Raw genomic sequence first — 21,071 nt, 5'->3', positions numbered from 1 at the left:
ATTTGACCCAACAATCCCATTACTGGGTATATACCCAAACAAGTATAAATTATTCTGTTATAAAGACACATGCACATGTATGTTCATTGCAGCACTATTCACAATAGCAAAGACATAGAATCAACCTAAATGATCCTCAGTGATAGACTGGATAAAGAAAATGTGGTACATATATACCATGAAATACTATGCAGCCATAAAAAGGAATGAGAGTATGTCCTTTGCAGTGACATGACTGGAGCTGGAGGCCATTATTCTTAGCAAACTAACGCAGCAACAGAAAAACAAATACTGCATGTTCTTACTTATAAGTGGGAGATGACTGATGAGGACACATGGACCTATTGGGGGGAACAACACACACTGGGGCCTGAGGGAGGATGTGGGGGGGCGGTGAGAGGATGGGGTGTGGGATGCTGAGCTTAATACTTCAGTGATGGGATGATCTGTGCAGCAAACTACAATTGCATACATTTACCTATGTAACAAACATGCACATCCTACACATATACCCGTCAACTTAAAAGTTGGAAATTTTAAAAAATGAGATAAAAATTGCTCTACAAAATGAAGTCTTTAAAAAATGGGAAAATTGTAATCTCTTACTGATATCGCAGTTATTATGCATCATTTCTCAGAACCTTATGAAGATTATTGCTGAAATAGGAACCAACACATTGTTTTTGTTATTGATCAGAAAGAATTAAGAAAGCTTAGGCTGGGCACAGTGGCTCAAGCCTGTAATCCCAGCACTTTGGGAGTCCAAGGCAGGTGGATCACCTGAGCTCAGGAATTCGAGACTAGCCTGGACAACATGGCAAAACCCTGTCTCTACTAAATATACAAAAATTAGTTGGGCATAGTGGCGGACTCCTGTAATCCCAACTTCTCAGGAGGCTGAGGCAGAAGAATCACTTGAATTAGGGAGGTGGTGCTCCAGCCTAGGTGACAGAGCAAGACTCCATATCCCCCATGGCCTCCCCAACCCCCCCAGAAAAGAAAGTAAAAAAGAAAGCTCACCATCTTCGTGGCACAAGCCAACAAGGTTGAAAAAGCCAAAGATGCCAACATTTACTGCTTTTTGATTTTTTGATTATGGCCATGCTTGCAGGAGTGAGGTGGTATCACATTGTGGTTTTGATTTGCATTTCCCTGATCATTAGTGATGTTGAGCATTTTTTTGTGTTTGTTGGCCATTTGTATCTCTTCTTTTGAGAATTGTCTATTCATGTCCTTAGCCCACTTTTTGATGGGGTTGTTTGTTTATTTCTTACTGATTTGTTTGAGTTCGTTGTAGATTCTGGATATTAGACCTTTGACAGATGTATAGATTGCAAAGATTTTCTCCCACTCTGTGGGTTGTTGGTTTACTCTGCTGACGGTTCCTTTTGCCGTGCAAAAGTTCTTTAGTTTAATTAGATCCCAGATATTTATCTTAGTTTTTATTCCATTTGTGATGAACAGGGAACCCCTCTACAATGCTTGTGGGAATGTAAACTAGTACAGCAACTGTGGAAAACAATGTGGAGATTCCTTAAAATGTAAAAGTAGAACTACCGTTTGATCCAGGAATCCCACTACTGGGTGTCTACCCAGAGGAAAAGAAGTCATTATTCGAAAAAGATACTTGCACACACATGTGTACAGCAGCACAATTCACAACTGCAAAATAGTGGAAGCAACCCAGATAGATGCCCACCAATCAATGAGTGGATAAAGAAACTGTGATATATATACACACAATGGAATACTACACAGCCATAAAAATGAATGAATTAATAACATTTGTGGAGACCTGGATGAGATTGGAGACTATTATTCTAAGTGATGTAACCCGGGAATGGAAAACCAAGCATCATATATTCTCAATGATATGTGGGAGCTAAGCTATGAGGACGCAAAGGCATAAGAACAATACAATGGACTCTGGGGACTTGGGGGGAAGAGTGGAAGGGAAGCGAGGGATACAAAACTACAAATATGGTGCAGTGTATGCTGCTTGGGTGATGGATGCACCAAAATCTCACAAATCACCACTAAAGAACTTAGACATGTAACCAAATACCACCTGTACACCAATAACATATGAAAAAATAAAATTTAAAAAAAGCCAAAGACAAGTGAACGAAAGGAGTAATTGATGGCCATGATTTCCAAGTAGATTTGCTGGGTCAAGATCAAGGTCAGGGAAAAATTTACACACTGTGAATTTTTTTTATCTGCACTGAAGTTGAATAGAAAATTTGAATTCATACTTATGGGGTCACAGTATGTCTAATTTTAAAATAGATGCATATGCTCTATTCACTTAATTGTCTTTTATTGTATACAATAAGCATTACATACACAGGGTAAGGAATTAAGTAGCTATAAAGGAAAATAGGATGAAATGATGCATTCCTCTTCTCCATTTTTTCTAGAAACAATGTTAAACCGAAATGATTCTAAAAATATAGTTACTCATTCTTGAGGTATTTTTTTCTATTTTTCAGTAGACTATTAATAATATTTGTAAAACAACCCATTAATAAATAACATAATCTATAGGCATAAAAAAGAAACCATGTATGGAAAACAAAATGCTAACAACAAAAATTTGAACCAAAATACCAAAAATGTCTACTAAGATAATGTAAATAACTAATAATTAGACAGTTTCACATTCTTGAAATGAAAGCTGTAATTAAAACTATATGTATGTATATATATATGTGTGTGTGTGTATACATATATATATATATATAATCCACAAAATGCTACATCATGTTCATACTTTCTTGTTACTCTTAATTAGAAAAACATGTTGGAAAGCAATTAAACAATAAGTGTCAACACATTTGTTAATAACCTCAGTGCAATATTACTACAAACCATACTTCTGAGTTTCTATTCTATGAGTAAAATCTATAATCTGTAATATTAATATAACAGTATTCATTAGAGAAAATATTAGAAACCAATTAAATGCCCAGCATTCAAACACTGAATATGAAAGTTACCATCTTTCAAAATCTCAGGAAAATATATAGCCTTAAAAAAAGTGGTTGTGATGATTTCTTTTAAAACCATCATTTATTACTTTTCTATTGCTGCACAGCAAATGATCACATTTAATGGCTTAAAATATGCACATTTTTCTTAGTGGTACTGGGTGTGGAGTCTGTCCATGACTGGGTCCTGTGGTCAGGGTCTTGCAAGGCTGAACTCAAGGTAGTTACCATGTTTGTGTTTCTTTCTGGAACCCAGTCTTGTGTTCCAAATCTGTGCCTTTGGTCCTGACTTCTTACTGGTGAGCACCTTCCTCAGTCCCAGATGCTGCCCACAATTCAGCCAGGGGGCCCCAACTGTAGGCCTTCATTGCTTCTCCAAGGCCAGCAGCAAAGTCTCTCTTTCTGGATAAGATAAGACTTATATTTTCTAAAAATGCTACGTTATGTGTGCTATTTTGTCACCTTTACTATGTTCTATTGGTTAGAATATCCTATTGGTTACTATATTCTATTGGTTAGAAATAAGTGGCAGTACTACCATCATTCAATGGGAGGGCATGACATATGGATCACTGGGAGTCACCCGAGGGTACATCTGCCACAACAGTAAAGGTATATCTTATGATGGTAAATGAACAAAGTAGAATATGACTTGAATATATAGAATAATGTAAATAATAAATGGTCACGAAAAAGAAAGTATTGGGCTGAAATGAATCAATCATCAACTTTTTGGAAATAATATACTTTGAATTAAAAATTACTTAAAATAGAAAGGAAAGCATTCAAGAAGTCCTGAAGTGAGTCTTAGCTGAAACAAACAAATCAGTTGCTCTAATTGCTATTAAGCATACCCAGAAAAGTTAAATAGGTTTACACATCTATTTCCCTCATATTCTTAGCACAGCCTCCAAATCTCAATTTGGAACTTTATATTATAATCCAATTTGCATGTATCAAATATTAAATGTAGTTTCAGACACACCTTAATATAATACCAGAGTAATTTGCATTATATGTATGTCCAAGATTTTCTGATGACCTGATCCCCTTTTTCGATTTATCTCTATATCTGAAGAAATAAAAGTCTCAAAGCAAAGATATGGTGGATTCAGAATGGTTGAAAAATTTCCTGACAACCCATCTTGCTTATCACAGTTCTTTTATATTAACCATCATACTAGATATGAATGTAAAATGATTTATCCAGATTTATTAGAAGACCAAAAAGAACATAGGGGTCATGAGACAATCCACTTACTTGGGGTTCATCCAACAGAATTCAGTGGAAGAATACTAATTGGAATACAAATGAATTCAAGGAAAAAAAGGAAAAAGGAAAAAAGCCTATGCAAATTACATCTGTTACAAGAACATTTTGTTTTAGCTGGAATAATTTCAGTGATGTAAAATTAGTCCTTTTCTCCCTTGTTCTCTTTGGGGCTGAGCATTGAAACCTGAACTAGATAAAGTACGCACGTGGCACTGTAAACATAAGAGGAAGAAACGTTAAACTATGAAGGCACAGGGGTGTTTCTCTGATTCTTGCCCCCTGTGAATGCAGGTGACTGGCCTTTAGTTACATCCTTATAAGCATTTATGTGACTGTGGGCAGATCAGGAGAGCTACCTGCTGCATTCCCCATCCACTGGCTATTCGTTCATCTGCTGATTCTCAACATTTCACTCTGAAGCTTTCCTTTCACCAAACAATGGTAAGCCACAAATAGCTTGCCAAGAACCATTATCTCTTCTAAGAGCATCAATGTTCTGATTATGTTGGTGATAAAATGAGGATTTTGATACTGCCTTTGCCCACCAGAAGTTAATAGTGCAAAATCATAATAATAAGTGTGAAAAGTTAAATACATCTTCTGGGCTACGGCATTAATAGCAAGGCCAATTCTGTTCATAGTCTCATTTGGTACTTATGGCATCCCATAAGATAAGCATAATTGCAACCCTAGTCAAGAAACCCCGTCTCTACAAAAAAAAAAAAAAAAAAAATTAGCTGGATTTGCTGGTGCATGGCTGTAATCCTAGCTACTTGGGAGGCTGAGGCAGGAGAATCATTTGAGCCTGGGAGGTGGAGGCTGCAGTGAGCTGAGATCACACCACTGCACTCCAGCCTGGGCAACAAAAACAAAACTCCACCTCAAAAAAAAAAAATGGGTGAAAAAATTACATGGTCTTCAGATTCTAGTATTATAAAGTCAACACAAACAACAAAGGTAAAAGGAGAAATGAACAAACAGATGATAATGCTGAAATTTTATTTTGGGAAAGTTTTCCCTCAAGAGGAGCCTGAGAAGTGTCTATGGATTCTGCTGAGGCATCTACCACAAGAGGTGGTACAGTGCTTCTCAAACTAGCTAGAGTGAATGACCTTTCCACTGTTATTTTTTAGTTCCAATACTTTGTAGCTGATTTTTTTTTTTGCAAGACACAATGATGATGAAAGTAAAAATATTAAAGATATATAAAGTCTTATTTTTATTATTATAATCAACAGACATAAAATTACTTTATTCCACAAACATTGGTAAAACGCTTTACTTGAATTTCTTTCCTTTTCTAGTCATGGACCAGTAACAAAATTTCGTAGATCTAAACTTATGTGCAGACTACATTGTGAAGAGTAACAATTTATTGGACAAGTTTCTTGACATGACTGCCAAAATTTATGTAATGAAGAGATTCTAGAGCTGTTTATTGTAATGTCCCTTAAGATAGGTTAATTGAATAATGCCAAATTAAATTTCAATAGCATACATTCTATGAAGGACTAAATTATTGTCCAAAGGAACCATTCTTGAATGTTGTAGATTTAACCTAAGGCTACAATTTAGAATACTTGAGAAAATATTTCACCATGCATTATGTTAGAACATTGTCTACAAATATTATTTCTCTGAAATTATTATTAATAAGGATTAATAAGCAGATGGCTTAAGATTACATTTCCTCTAAAGAGCTACTTCAGATAGATTAACATGGATTGTCAACCAATCAACAATGGAAATTTCGAACATTCCTAAGAAAATTAAGATACATAAATAGACACATTCTTAAATAACCACTTTACCTCTACAAGGAATGAAACAAGGGCCTGTGGAAAGAAAGAGGATTTCATTTTAGATTGTCTTTAGTAATTTTCAAATGATAATTGAAGAACTAAATTTTTGCATTATTGAATTTTTAATATTACAATTGGTGACTTCTAATTGAAATTGCACATTACAGTCAAACCCACATACATGCAAACTGAATTAAGCCTATGGACAATGTTGCTAAGTAATTTCACTTCTTGGTGAACTACAAGATGAATTATTTGATACATTCACCTACATATAACTTATGGATTTTATATATTTTATGCACTTGTTGGAAAAAAGCCAATTAAATATTGGCTGACATCTGCCAAAATAAGTATTACAATTTAAATATATTTGACATTGTGCCACTGTACCATTCTTTCTGCAATTAATGAGGTTGCAGAGCTAATTGTCTGTTGAGTCCACTTATACAAGACAAAAATAAAACCTTTATACTTAGTGCTGAAAGAAGCCATATAATTTTCTACCTAATAGCAAGAAGGACCCTTTAAATTCATTCAAAACTGGGTTTAAGTCATTAAAGTAGGCTTAGGCCATTAAAATATTATAAATATAATTACAATTATAAAGTAGGGTACAATGCATTATGTTAAAATATTAAGTATTTTGACCCATTTTTGTTAAGACACAAGTCCTTTGTCTATATAAAGATAATTTAGGAGATCATATAGATTTGCTACAGCTTCTCCCTTATTGATTTGTGTGGACAGAATTAGAGTTTGAGTGATGAATAACCATTTTGATCATACAGATGCTTCACAGAGTGATAGGACATACAGCTATGGCCTGTAGAGGAATAGCCATGCCCAGATTTTCCCACTCCATGTGGATAATTATGACCTCAGCACCCATATGGCAAATTTATCAAGAATTAAACTACTATACATTTTAGTGTGAATAAAATAATCTCTATTCAATTGGGAGAGAAGGCTGGCAGGTTTCTATTTTTTAAAAATCAGATGACCAGTTAAGAGTGCATTTATCCTTGGCTTACTGAGGTTAGATCTATAGGGAACTAAAGGCCTCTGTTTGGCAAAACAGACTTTCACATGGGAGAAAGTGTTTTATGAAGACTAGTTGAGATGAGGTGACTTTCATTTCATCTCACTCATTGTGCATGTGTTTTGTTTTTTATTGTTAGTGAAATGATGAGTTACATGTAACAAATAAGAGAATTGAAGGCACCTGAATTTTTCTTAAATTTTAAAGCTGAGGAAACAATGCATCTCATGCCTTAATCAGCATCTGGCTTTGGTATTTTACATCGTAACTTCACTTTGGTTTAAGTTCAGAAATTTGGCCTTAGGAAGGAACAGGTAGGCAATAGAACCCAGGGACAGTTACTTCTATTTTTGCAAAGACATCACCTGGGGCTTCACTTGGCTTAGCCTAGGCTCCCCGGAAAGCATAAGCTGATGCTAATATTGACAGCATTATACCCAAGGAACACAGAGAGAGGCAGAGTGAAGCAGGAAAGGAGAGACAGCTGTCTTAGAATGTATCATCAAGCGTGTCAAAACTAAGTGCAACCGATTTTTGTTCTACAGAACATTTGCAGAGAAGTCTCATTACAGTCATCTTCAGATCTTGTATGAGGAAGAAAAGAAAGGGAGAAAAAAATTATTCACCACCCCACCTCTCATTTTCCTCATGGGGTTCCTCCAGTTACAATTGCATGGCAACCTAGCAGGGGGTTTCTAGCAGCAGCACCAAGAGCACTAGAGCAACACCTGGAAAAAGAGACGCATACAAGGATGACACACTTAAGTGTGCATGAGAGGCAATTTCTCCAATTGTACAGAAGCTGTCAAATGATAAACTAGCAGCAAAAGATAACATTAAAAACTGCTACAAGATTATTAGATTGTAAATATGTTTTTGTTGTTTTAATTATGCTAGAGTTATTTGTGTATATAGTCTCTATATTAGTGAATGACTTCTGATTACTATTTCAAAGAGGTGTATAAGGTATACAAGACAAGACTTAAGTATGTATCTCTATTTGATGAGAAACATTTTGTTTATGCTTGAAGTTGGTACACAGATGAGTTTATGAAGTAGTATCAACAAGTGATACACTAACATTCAATCAAATGAAGGTTGAATTCCTCTATGAAATCTACAAATGATGAGTTGAGGCAAAATATGTAGAAAATGGAAATATTTTTAAAAAGTAATACAGGGAATTGAATTTTGCTCTCACAAGAAATAGTGTAGAAGTCAGCACTCCTGTTTCTGTAACAAGTAAATGCTGAACAGATGAGAATTAGCAGCTTTTCTTGGATCCCTCAGACACCTGAGTTGGCAGAGCCAACAGTCACTCTAAACTCTGGAGAGGCAGGCAATTCCAAAGGGTGGCATCCTGAGCTACTTTTGTGGCTTAGAAGATATTGGGACCTTAGCAGGAGGAGGCATTCAAATGGGAATTTCGGCAAACTGCTGGAGGAGGCTGAGTGTGGACTAACATGATAGAGAAAGGCTTCTGGGATTGTTGTCTTAAAAGGAGCACCACTTATTCATGGGTTTTATGTCCAAGATCCCAACATGTTCTCATGAAGAAGAGCTGAGAAAGTTCTTCTGGCTCAAGCAGGGGAAGAAAAGTGATGAAAATTTCATCATTGTGAAATTTGCTCAGAGCATTCTGCAAAACAAAAGCCTCTTCCCGGAAAAATTCTTTACCAGAAGCTTTCCTCATATAGAAGAAAGAAATTCTTTTATTTTTGCCTTCACATCTCAAGAAAGAGTGGTGTGTGTGCACATGCATGCATGTGTGTGTGTGCATGTGTCTGGGTGTGTGTAAGTCTATATGTGTGTGGGCTATACCACTAGAAAAACTTTTATGAAGGCCGCAGCACAGAAACACAAGCCGATTAAAAATCTGAGGTTTAATAATAATATTATAGAATGCTTCTCCTCCATCACACCTTACCATCACACCAGCGGGTCTTCAGTATAGTAATAGTAAATTAAAACTGAAAAAGTGATGTAAGCAGACTCTCTCTGGGAAGTACTTAGAGTTGCCCAAAGTCGAGAAGAAAAACAAGCAAACAAAACAATAGTAAAACTTGACACCTTTGGCACCTACAACAAGAGCAAAGAGTAAAGACCAACTCCTAGGAATAATTATATAAATCCAAACTCTAAAATCACTTTACCTCTCTTACCCTACATAACATGTCTAGCTGACAACAAAAACCTAAAAGAATATCCAAAGGCAAGTGAAAACAGTCTGAAGAGAGAAAACAAAAATTGAAAGCAGACATATGTATGACACCAACATTGTAAATATCAAAGAGGGAATTGATCTGTGATTAACATGTTAGCAGTGCTAATGGCATAAGCAGAAAATGTAAGCAAAGAGATGTGTTTTTCAGCTTGGGCTGCCATAAAAAAATGCCATGCACTGGGTGCCTTAAACCACAGAAATTAACTTTTTAAAAAGAGATATGGACACTGGGAAGTCCAAAATAAAGGGGATGGTCCATTTTGTTACTAGCGAGGGCTTTCTTCTGTCTTGCAAATGCATTTGCAAGAGAGCACCCTCTGGCCTGTCTTCTTATTGGGTTATTAATCCCAGCATGAGTGCCCCATCCTCATGAGCTTGTCTAACCCTAGTTATCTCCTGAAGACTCAATTTCCAAATACATCACACTGGAGGTTAGGGCTCCAACTTATGAAATTTTAGGGACACAAATTCTTAATCCCTAACATTCTGCCCCTGGCCACCCAAAATTCATGTCCTTCTTGCATACAAAATACATATATTGCATCTTAACAGCCACCAGATTCTTAACTCATTCCAGTAGCACCCTTAAAGCCTAAAGTCCAAATTCTCATTTAAATATCATATAAATTGGGTATGGGTGAGGCTCCTGGTAGAATTTATCCTGATATAAGTTTTGTCTCCAGATGTGAACCAGTGAAACCAGATGAATTTTATGCTTTCAAAATATCATGATGAGATATGCATTGGGTAGACATTCTCATTTCAAAAGGGAGATATAAGAAGGAAGGAAGGGGTGACAGGACTCAAGCAAGTCCCAAACCTAGCAAAGCAAATTACATTATATCTTAAATCATGAGAATAATTCTTTTGGCTTGATATTCTGTCCTGTAGTCCAGCTGAGAGGTGGTGTCAACTTCTGTGCCCACTGGGACCATGGCCCTGCCTCCATGGCTTTGTTAAGCAGGGGTGCAAACCCCAAGGCTCTATGAGGTAGAGGCCAGGCCCCAAGATGCTGGGTGGCCCAGATCCAAAACCCGCGAAGGGCTGTCCCACAACCAAGCCTCCTGTTAACCATAAGGTAGTGGCCGTGGTAATCTCTGAGTCACATTTGAAGTCATTTTTTTTTCTCTTGAAGAACAGTGCACATTTGCAGCCAAATGGCTCTACTGTCACATCCTGTAAAATCCAAGGAGTCCAACAGCCTTCATTTGTTTCATTCTGTCTCCATCCCCTCCAATTCAGACTGGCAGTGTTTCTGCTCGTATAATCCTACAAATTATCAAGTAATAGTGCAGCCACATCCTTAGGTGATCTTCAGGATAGGCTTTCTCTCTCTCTTTTTTTTTTTTTTTTTTTTGCTTATGATATTGATGGGCAGATAATTTTTGAAATCTTCAAGGTCTGTTCTTTTTTTGCTTAGCAATTTTTTCTTCAATCCATCTTACTACCCTCACGCTTTATGACAACCATCCAGGAGGAACCAAGTCACTCCTTCAACACTTTACTTATAAATTTTCTTAGCTAAATATCTAATTTCATCACTTGCAAATTCTACCTTCCACAAAAGATTAGAACACAGTTCAGTCAAGTTTTTTTGCCACGTTATAACAAGGATTAACTTTCCTCAAGTTCCCAATAAGATTTTATTTATTTCCATCTGAGACCTCAGCAGAATCACCCTTAACATTCATATTTTTAGAATTCTTAGTACCTAAGAACTCTTTTAGTTTCTAGTCATTATCCACTCTAAAAACAGTTGCAGATTTTTAGGCATTTGTTCTAATACATCAGCACTCGCTCCCAGTGCAGAAACCTGTGTTAGTCTGTTCGGGCTGTCATAATAAAATACCATAGACGGTGTGATTTACACAATAGAATTTAATTTCTTACACTTCCAGAGGCTTGGAAGTCTAAGATAAATGTGCAGCCAATTAAGTTTCTGTTGAGGGTTATTTCTATCTTGCAAATGTCCTCTGTGCTGTGTTATCATATGGTTAAGAGAGACAGAGAGAGAGAGAGAACTAACAAGCTCTCTTGTGTCTTTGCTTATAAGAGTAATAATCCCTGCATGAGGGATCCACTCTTATGAATTCATCCAACTCTATATCTCCTACAGGCCCTGTTTCTGAATATTATCATATTAAGAGTTAAGGTTGTAAAGTATGAATTTTGAAGGAACACACATTTAGTCCTTAACAGAGGAAAATTCTAAGAGCAGAAAGAAATGCTTTAATGGCTCATAAGTGGGCTAGACAAAGTTAAATAAAATAATAAGTGAGCTTGATAGTAGGTCCACAGAATCTACCCCAATAGAAATGCAAAATGAAAATAAAATGAAAAACAAAAAGAAAAAAAGCTTCCAAGAACTGTGGGGCAGTTTCAGAAGATATAATCGTGGGATGTATTAAAAACAGTGTTTAGAGGGAAATGTATAGCACCAAGAGCATATATTAGAAAAGGGAAAAGATATAAAATCTATACGCTAATTTTTCAATTTAGGAAACTAGATAAAGAAGAGCAATTTAAACCTAAAGCAAGCAGAAGAAATCAAGTAATAAAAAGGAAAGCAGAAATCAATAAAATAGAAAATATTTCAAGAAAGTCAATGAAACCAAAAGCTGCTTCTTTGAAAAGATTGATAAAATTAGTAATTATGCCAGACTAACCAAGAAAAAAAAAGAGAGAAAGCACACATTACTGTTAATAATACCAGTAAAGAAAGAGTGTCATCATTACTGAGACCATTGGTATTAAGAACATAATAAAAATATATATTATGAACTCCATGGAGACAAAAGTGACTCTGTCTTGGATGTTAATATGCCATGTTGACCTATAATTAATTCCATATATGCCTCCTGATTCCTACATTATTTACTGTCCCTAGTGTAAGAACAAAGCAACCTTGATGTTATCACACAAATTAAAGGCTATGAAGCTCATAGCACTCTTGCCTGTTCTGGAGGGTCACCTTTAATTGTATCTCTAGAGCACATACTCTTTTCCTGCGGTATATGAGCCTTGTCTGGGGAGTGACAGTGCAGAGATCTACCTGCCAGATGGCTGCCCCAAGACCATGCTTTTGTCTATAAGTTCCCTTAATAAATCAACCAATACCAACAAACTGGATTTGCCTGCCTCCTTTGGTTTCTTGTCTCCTCTGGCATTTGGGGGTTGCTTTGCATATATGGCCCTTCCATAGAACAAACTCTGGACCATTTCCTTGTAATACAAAACCTAGCAAAGTCCACACATGGAAAAATAGATTATTTGAATAGATATATGTCAACTAAATAAATGGCATAAATAATTAATAACACTCCAAAACAGATAATGCAAGGCCTGGATTGGTGAATTCTACCAAACATTTAAGAAATAAATTATACCAATTCTCCACAATCTCTTCCAGAAATTATATCAGAAGAAACACTTCCAAATGTATTTTATGAAACTAGCATTTTTCTAAAAACAGAACGTGATAAAGACATGACAGGAATGGAAATGTAGAGACCAATACTGATAAACTAAATGAAATGGATGAATTCCCTGGAATGAACATGAACATAGATGCAAAAACCCTCAATAAATTTATTAATAAATTGGATGCAACTTATTAGTAAATTGCATCCAATGATGTCTAAAATCATTATATACTAAACCCAAATGAGATGTAGTACTGGAATACAAGGATCGTTCAACATTCAAAAATCAATCTATGCAATGGTATACCATATTAAGAGGCAAAAATTGTATACTTATAACCACTGATGCATAAAAAATAGTATTTGACAATTTTAACACCCATTAATAATCAAAGCAGTGATCAAACTGGGAAAAGAGGGGAACTTCTTCAACTAGATAAAGAATATCCACAAAAATTATAGGTAATGGTGAGAAATTTGACAATTTTCCCCTAATATTTGAGAACATGGAAAGTGTGTTCTTTCCCTACTCCTATTCAAAACTATACTAAAATACTAGCTAGTATAATAAGACAAAATTAAAGGAAAGAAAACATAGAGAGATTGCAAAGGAAGAGTTAAAACTGTCCTTTTCGTGGATTACATAATTTTGTTATTTAAAAAAATTACAAAAAATCTACAAATAACTCCTGGAACTAAAAAATGAGCACAGCTTCATCAAAAAATAAAGCATTACTATGAAAAAGTAAACTGGAAAAGATAAAAAAAGTAAGTATGTCTAAAACATGCATAGAATCTATATGTGAAAACTAAGACTTCTGATAAAAAAACAAAAATCTAAATAAGTAGGCACATAGTATATGTTCACTGATTGTAAGACATAATATTGTTATCAATTATTTGACAAATTGATTCCAAAGTTACTGTGAAGAGAAAATAGCCAATACAATACTGAAGAAGAATAACAAAGTAGGATGATAGAATGATATAAATTACTTGATTTCAATATGTATGATAAGGCTATAGTAATCAAAATAGCATGGTATTGGTAAAATAACAGGCATATAGATTATTAGAATAGATAGCCTAGAAGTGGAGCCATACAAATAGAGTCAATTTATTTTTTGTTGAATAATCAATCCAGTGTAGAAAGCTTAGTTTGTTTTTTTTTTTTTAACAAATGGTGCTATATATTTGGAAGTCCATCTGCAAACAAAACAAAAAGTAAACCCAGACTTTTTATCTTTCACAAAGAAATTTTCTCTAAATTGATCATAATTTTAAATATGGAACCTAAATTATTTACAATTCTAAAAGAAGAGATTTACGTGAATGTATATTTGATAATGAATTTTTGGATACAATATTAAGAGCATGACCTATGAAAGGAAAAGCTGATCAATTAGACTATATTAACATTAAAAAATTTTAGTCGGTGTAGACACAATTAAGATAATTAAATTCAAGGCACAAACTGGGAGAATATACCTGCAGAACATGATTCAGATAAAAGGCTTATTTCTTAGATACAAGGAAAACTCATAATACTCAACAATAAGAAAATAATGAACCTAATAAAAACTGGACAAAAGGCCACACCAAAGCAAATATCCAAAGAGATAATAAGCATATAAAAACATACCAACTTTTTAAATTTCTTTTTTAACTTTAATTTTAGGTTCAGGGGTACATATGCAGGTTGGTTATACAGATAAATTGAATGTCATGGGGATTTGGTGTACGAATTATTTTGTCACCCAGGTAATAAGCACAATACCTGATAGGTAGTTTTTTGATCCTCACCCTCCTCCCAGGCTCCACAGTCAAGGGGGCTCCAGTGTCTGTTTTCCCCGTCCTTGTGTACTCAACATTTAGCTCTCACTTATAAGTGAGAAAACACAGTATTTTGTTTTCTATTCCTGCATCAGTTTGCTCAGGATAAAAGCCTTCATCTCCATCCATGTTTCTGCAAAGGACATGATCTAATTCATTCTTATGGCTGCATAGTATTCTATGATTATGTGTGCCCCATTTTCTTTATCCATTCTACCACTGATGGGCATTTAGCTTGATTCCATGACCTGGCAATTGTGAATAGTGCTGTAATGATTACACACATGCATTTGTCTTTGTGACAGAACAATTTATATTCCTTTGGGTGTATACCTAGTTGAATGTTAGTCCTGTTCCAAGTTCTCTAAGAAGTTGCCAAGCTGCTTTCCACAACGGCTGAACAAATTTTCCTTCCCACTAGCAGTATATAGGCATTCATTTTACTCTGCAGCATCACCAGCATCTATTATTTTTTGACTTTTTAATAATAGCCATTCTGACTAGTGTGAGATGGCATCTCATTGTAGTTTTGATTGGCATTTATCTGATGATTGGTGGTTTTGAGCATTTGTTCATATGCTTATAGGTCTTCTTTTGAAAAGTATCTAAGTAAGTATATTTCTTCTTTTGAAAAGTATCTATGTCCTTTGTCAAATTTTTAATGGGGTTGCTTGATTTTGCTTGTTACTTTGTTTAAGCTTCTTACACATTCTAGATATTAGACTTGTGTCAGATCCATAGTTTACAAATACTTTCTCCCATTCTGTAGGTTGTCGCTTATTCTGTTGATAGTTTATGCTTCTGCACAGAAGCTCTTTAGTTGAATTAAGTCCCATTTGTCAATTTTTGCTTTTGCTGCAATTGCTTTTGGTATCTTCATCATAAAACCTTTGCAAGGGGCAATGTTCTAAATAATATTGCCTAGGTTCTTGTCCACAGTATTTATAGTTTTAGGTCTTACAGCTAAGTCTTTAGTCCATCTGGAGTTGATTTTTGTACATGGTGTAAGGAAGGGGTCCAGCTTTAATCTTCTGCATATGGCTAGCAAGTTATTTCAGGACCATCTTTACTGAATAGAAAGTCCTTTCCCCATTGCTTGTTTTTGTCAACTTTGTTGAAGATCAGATGGCTGTAGGTGTGAAGCATGATTTCTAGGCTCCTTATTCTGTTTCATTGATTTATGTGTCTGTTCTTTTTTTTTTTTAACCAGTACCATGCTGTTTTGGTTACTGTAGCCTTGTAGTGTAGTTTAAAACTGGGTAACATGATGCCTCCAGCTGTATTCTTTTTTTGCTTAGGATTGCCTTGACTATTTGGGTTCTTTTTTGTTCCATATTAATTTTAAAATAGTTTTTTTTCTGATTCTGTGAAGACTATCATTGGTAGTTTGATAGGAATAGCATTGAATCTGTAAATTGCTTTGGGCAGTATGGCCACTTTAATGATGTTGATTCTTCCTATCCATGAGCATGAAGGTTTTGCCATTTGTCTGTAATACCTATGAATTCTTTAGTAATGTTTTGTAATTCTCATTGTAGAGATCTTTCACATCCCTGCTTAGCTCTATTCCTAGGTATTTTAGTATATTTTTGGCTATTGTGAATAGGTTTATTCTCTTTATTTAGCTCTCAGCTTGGAGACTGTGGATTTACAGAAATGCTACTGGTATTTCTACATTGATTTTGTATATTGAAACTTTGCAGTTGCTGTTTATTAGATCTAGCAGCTTTTGGCCACAGAAAACTGTGAGGTTTTCTAAAAAACTATGAAAACCCTAGAAAACCATGGGGTTTTCTAGTTATAGAATCATGTTATATGCAAACAAAGATAATAGTTTGACTCCCTTTCTTCCTATTTGGATGTCTTCTATTTCTTTCTCTTGCCTGATTGCTCTGGCTAAGACTTTCAATGCTATGATGAATAGGAGTGCTGAGAGTAGACATCTGTCTTTTTCTGTTTCTCAGGCAGAATGCTTCCAGCTTTTGCCCATTCAGTATGATGTTGGCTATGGGTTTGTCATTGATGGCTTTTATTAATTTGAAATATCTTCCCCTCCATGCTAGTGAGTTGACAGTCTTTAACATGAAAGGATGTTGAATTTTATAAAAACATTTTTCTGTATTTATTGATATAATCATATGGTTTTGTTTTTAGTTCTGTTTATGTGATGCATTAAATTTATTAATTTGTGTATGTTGAACTAACTTTGCCTCCAGGAATAAAGTATACTTGATTGTGGTGAATTTGCGTTTTGATGTGATGCTAGACACAGTTTGCTATTATTTTGCTGAGGATTTTTGAATCTGGGTTCATCAAAGTTATTGGCCTGAAGTTTTTTTATTTTATTTTATTTTATTTTATTTTATTTTTTTCTTTTTTGGTTGTACCTCTTCCAGGTTTTAGAATTAGGATGATGCTATCCTCATAGAAGAGTTAGGGAGGAGTCTCTCCTCCTCAATTTTTTGGAATAGTTTCAGTAGAAATCACACCAGCTCTTCTTTATACATCTGGGAGAATTTGGCTGTAAATCTATCTGGTCATAGGCTTTTTCTAGTTAGTGGGCTTTTTATTACTGATTCAATTTTAGAAATCATTATTGGTCTGTTCGGGGATTGTATTTCTTCCTAGACAGGTTATATATTTACAGAAATTTATCCATTCATTCTAGGTTTTCTGGTTTGTGTGCATGGAGATGTTCATGGTAGTCTCTGAGAGTTTTTTATATTTCTGTTGGGTCAGTGGTAATGTCCCGTTTTTCATTTCCTATTATGTTTACGTAGATCTCTCTTTTTTATTAGTCTAGCTAGTGTCTAGACTAATAAAAATCTTATTTGTTCCTTCAAAGGACAAACTCCTGTATTCACTTATCTTTTGCATGGTTTTTTTCCCTCTCAATTTCCTTCAGTTCAGCTCTGATTTTTGTTATTTCTTGTTGTCTACCAGCTTTGGGATTGGTTTGCTCTTGTTTTTATAGTCCTTTTTGGTATGATATTAGGTTGTTAATTTTAGATTATTCTAACTTTTTCACGTGAGTGTTTAGTGCTGTAAAATTCCCTCAACACTGCTTTTGCTATGTCTTGAAGATTCTGGTATGTTGTCACTTTGTTCTCATTAGTTTCAAAGAATTTCTTGATATCTACCTTAATTTCATTTTTTACCCAAAAGTCGTTCAGAAGCAGGTTGTTTGATTTCCATGTAATTGTATGGTTTTGAATGAGTTTATTCGTATTTATTTTTATTTTTATTTTGCTGTGGTCCCAAAAGTGTGGTTGGTATGATTTCAGCTTTTTTTCAATTGCTGAGGATTGCTTTATGGGCAGTGTTGTGGTCAATTTTAGAGTATGTGCTATGTGCAAATGAGAAGAATGTATATTCTCTTTTTGGGAGTAGGAAATTTTGTAGATGTCTGTTAGGTCCATTTGGTCAAGTGTTGAGTTCAGGTCCCAAATATTTTTGTCAGTTTTCTGCCTTGATAATCTTTCTGATACTGTGAGTTGGGTGTTTCCCACTTAGGGTTATCTAAATCTCGTTTTTCTAAATCTTTAAGAACTGGCTTTATTAATCTGATTCTGCCTGTGGTGGGTGTGTATATATATTTATGATGCTTAGGTTTTCTTGTTGTATTGATCCCTTTACCATTATATGATGCCCTTCTTTATCATTTGTTATCTTTGTTGGTTTAAAGTCCGTTTTTGTCTGAAAATTGGAAGAGCAAACCCTGCTTTTATCTGTTTTTCAACTACTTGGTAAATTTTTCTCCATCCCTCTACTTTTAGCCTATGCTATTGCATTTGCAAATGCTATTCCATTTGAAATGGGTCTCTGGACAGCATACGATTCTGTATTGCTTCTTTATCCATCTTGCCACTCTGTATCTTTTAATTGGGGCTTTAGCCTCAATTAAAAGGTTACATAAAAGGTTAATTTTTACATAACAGGTTAATATTTACATAAAGGTTAATATTTTACATAGAAGATTAATATTAATACATACAGATTTGATCCAGTCATTTTGTTGTTAGCTGGTTATTTTGCAGATTTGTTTTTGTGGCTGCTTTATAATGTCAATGCTTGATGTAATTAAGTGTGTTTTTGTGGTGGCTGGAATGGTCTTTCCTTTCCTTATTTTGCACACCCTTAAGACCTTCTTGTAGGTCAGGTCTCGTGGTAATGAATTCCCTTAGCATGTGCTTGTCTGAAAAGGATCTTATTTCCCCTTTGCTTACTAACCTTAGTCTGGCTGGATATGAAATTCATTGTTGCAATTTCTTTTATTTAAGAATGTTGAATATAGGCCCCCAACCTCTTTTGGCTTGTAAGGTTTCTGCTGAGAGTTTCGCTGCTACCCTGATAAGGTCCCATTTGTACGTGACCTGAGCTTTCTCTCTAGCTTCCTTCAGGATTTGTCTTTTGTGGTGACCTTGGTGAATGTGCCTTGGGGATGGTCATCTCATGTAGTATCTCACAGGATTTCTTTGTATTTCTTGAATTTGTACGTCCTCTCTAGCAAGACTGGAAAAATTTTCATGGACTATATCGTTAAATGTTTTCTGAATTGCTTACTTTCTCTCCTTCTCTTTCAGGAATACCCACGAGTCACAGATTTCGTCTCTTGATAATCCCCTGTTTCCTGGAGGTTTTGCTCATGTAAAAAAAAAATCCCTTTTTCTTTATTTTTGTCTGATGGATTTCATTTGAAGAACTGGTCTTCAAACACTTAGATTCTTTCTTTAGCTTGATCTATTCTGCTGTTTATGTTTCCTATTATATTTTGGAATTCTTGAAGTAAATTCCTCATTTCCAGAAATTCAGTTTGGTTCTCTTTTAAAATGGATATTTTGTCTTGTGGTTCCTGGATGATTATACTAGATTCCTTGGATCTCTTGGATTAGGTTTCAAGTTTATTCTCAATCCTGATGAGCTTCCTTGCCATTATCTCAATCTGGCTAAAAAGCATTTCTGGGAGACTGGTGTGTTCATTTGTAGGTAAGGGGGCACACTGGTTTTTTGAGTTGCCAAAGTTCTTGCATTCATTCTTTCTCATGTGTGAAGGCTGGTGTTCCTTTAACTGTGACATAAATTGAGTATAGTCAGTTGGCCTCATTTCTGAGTGTTTTTAGAGAGCCAGGACTCAGTACAGAATCTTGATTTGTGGCAGGAGCCTTTGCTTTTGCTTTCACTGGCACTTTATACTGGCAAAATATTTTGGTGTTGTATTCTGGATTGTGATCGAGTAGGTAGTGCTTAACAGTGTTGGCTGGCAGATAGGCTCTTAGCACCAGGCTTTTTTATGTTTTGGCACAGTTGGCAGTAGTGTTCTGTGGGTGGGGGAGAGAGAGATGACCCCTCACATTAACTGCTCCAGAGCCTCAGATGTGCCCCCTCCAGTCATTAGCTCCACACCCATGTTTCCTTTGTTAAATATTCTGGTTCATGCGACTCCCTCAGGCAGGGTCCGCAGTTGGTAGACCAGCCTATGCTTCCTGGGACTGCCCTGTAGAGGGAGGCACACCCTATTCCTCCACCAGCCTGCAAACCTGGGCATCTAACACCTCTCAGTGTTTCAAGAGTGAGGGCTCCCACCTGCTTAGGCAATGCCTAAACTTGCAAATCCAACTGGGCTAGCAGCAGTGGTGGTGGGTGGAGTCACCTGATTCGTCATCTCAGTGCTACCCAGGGCAACATAAAGCTGCACCCTCCCACAGAGTTTAGGTAGAGGTGAGTCCACTGTGTTGGAATTCCCGACTGATGTGTCTTGCCCACCTAGGAGGAGTGTGAGTGAGTGGGGTCACCCAATCCACTGTGCAGGTGTTTCCTTGGGCAACACAGAACTGCCCCTACCCACGGAGTTCAGGCAGAAGTGTGGCTATTGTGCTGGGAGTCCCAGCAGGTGTGGCCCACATGGCTACAAGCTGCAGGGTGGGTGGAATCACTGGCTATGCTGTCTGGTTGTTTCCCTGGGGGAACACAGGGCAGCGCCAGCCTGCAAAGCTCAGGCAGAAGCAGGGCTGTTCTGCTAGAAGCTTGTGCTGAGCCTTGTCTGGTGAGGGGAGTAGAAAAATTACTGCTCCTGAGCCCTGTCCTTATTGTGGCTATGAAAGTAGCACCAGGCTACTCTCGGGTCCAAGGCCTGTGGAGTTCCCCATAAAGTTACATACTATCCCCTCAAAAACTCTGGGCATTCTCTGTATCAGTTTAGAGGCCCCAGTGAGTTCAGGACCTTCCTCCCATTTACAGGCTTGGGCAGGTCCCTGCGGGAAGCGTGAATCCCCTGGGGGCTGTCACTCACTCACTGTTTTCCTGTGTTGGGAGCTTCTCCTGGCTCTGCACTGATCCTAGGTGGGCTGCTGCCCAGCTTTGCTCGTCTCTGTCCTCTGCGTCCCTTTCTGCCTTGATGGAGCCTGCAGTGCTTCTCAGGTGATTGTCTCACAGTCATCACTCAGGGCCAGTGTTCACCATCCACCTCATTTCCTCGTCCTGAGGGT

The 21,071-nt window shown here is 36.3% G+C and overlaps 1 long non-coding RNA gene across 1 annotated transcript in view, besides 1 other annotated feature; it reads left to right on the top strand.

Moving 5' to 3' along the window:
* Nucleotides 1-21,071, top strand: part of LINC01446 (long intergenic non-protein coding RNA 1446) — a 156,423-nt gene that overhangs the window by 47,162 nt on the left and 88,190 nt on the right. The window lies entirely within an intron of this gene.
* Nucleotides 20,491-20,992: an enhancer, noted in NCBI's record as "H3K4me1 hESC enhancer chr7:53811471-53811972 (GRCh37/hg19 assembly coordinates)". NCBI's record gives its function as "activates a minimal SCP1, AML or CMV promoter by ChIP-STARR-seq in naive H9 embryonic stem cells {active_cell/tissue: H9 hESC(naive)}" and the evidence as "EXISTENCE:reporter gene assay evidence [ECO:0000049][PMID:30033119]".

Source organism: Homo sapiens, chromosome 7 (assembly GCF_000001405.40).
Source record: "Homo sapiens chromosome 7, GRCh38.p14 Primary Assembly".
Classification (NCBI taxonomy): domain Eukaryota; kingdom Metazoa; phylum Chordata; class Mammalia; order Primates; family Hominidae; genus Homo; species Homo sapiens.
This window is presented reverse-complemented; position numbering and strand designations above follow the sequence as displayed.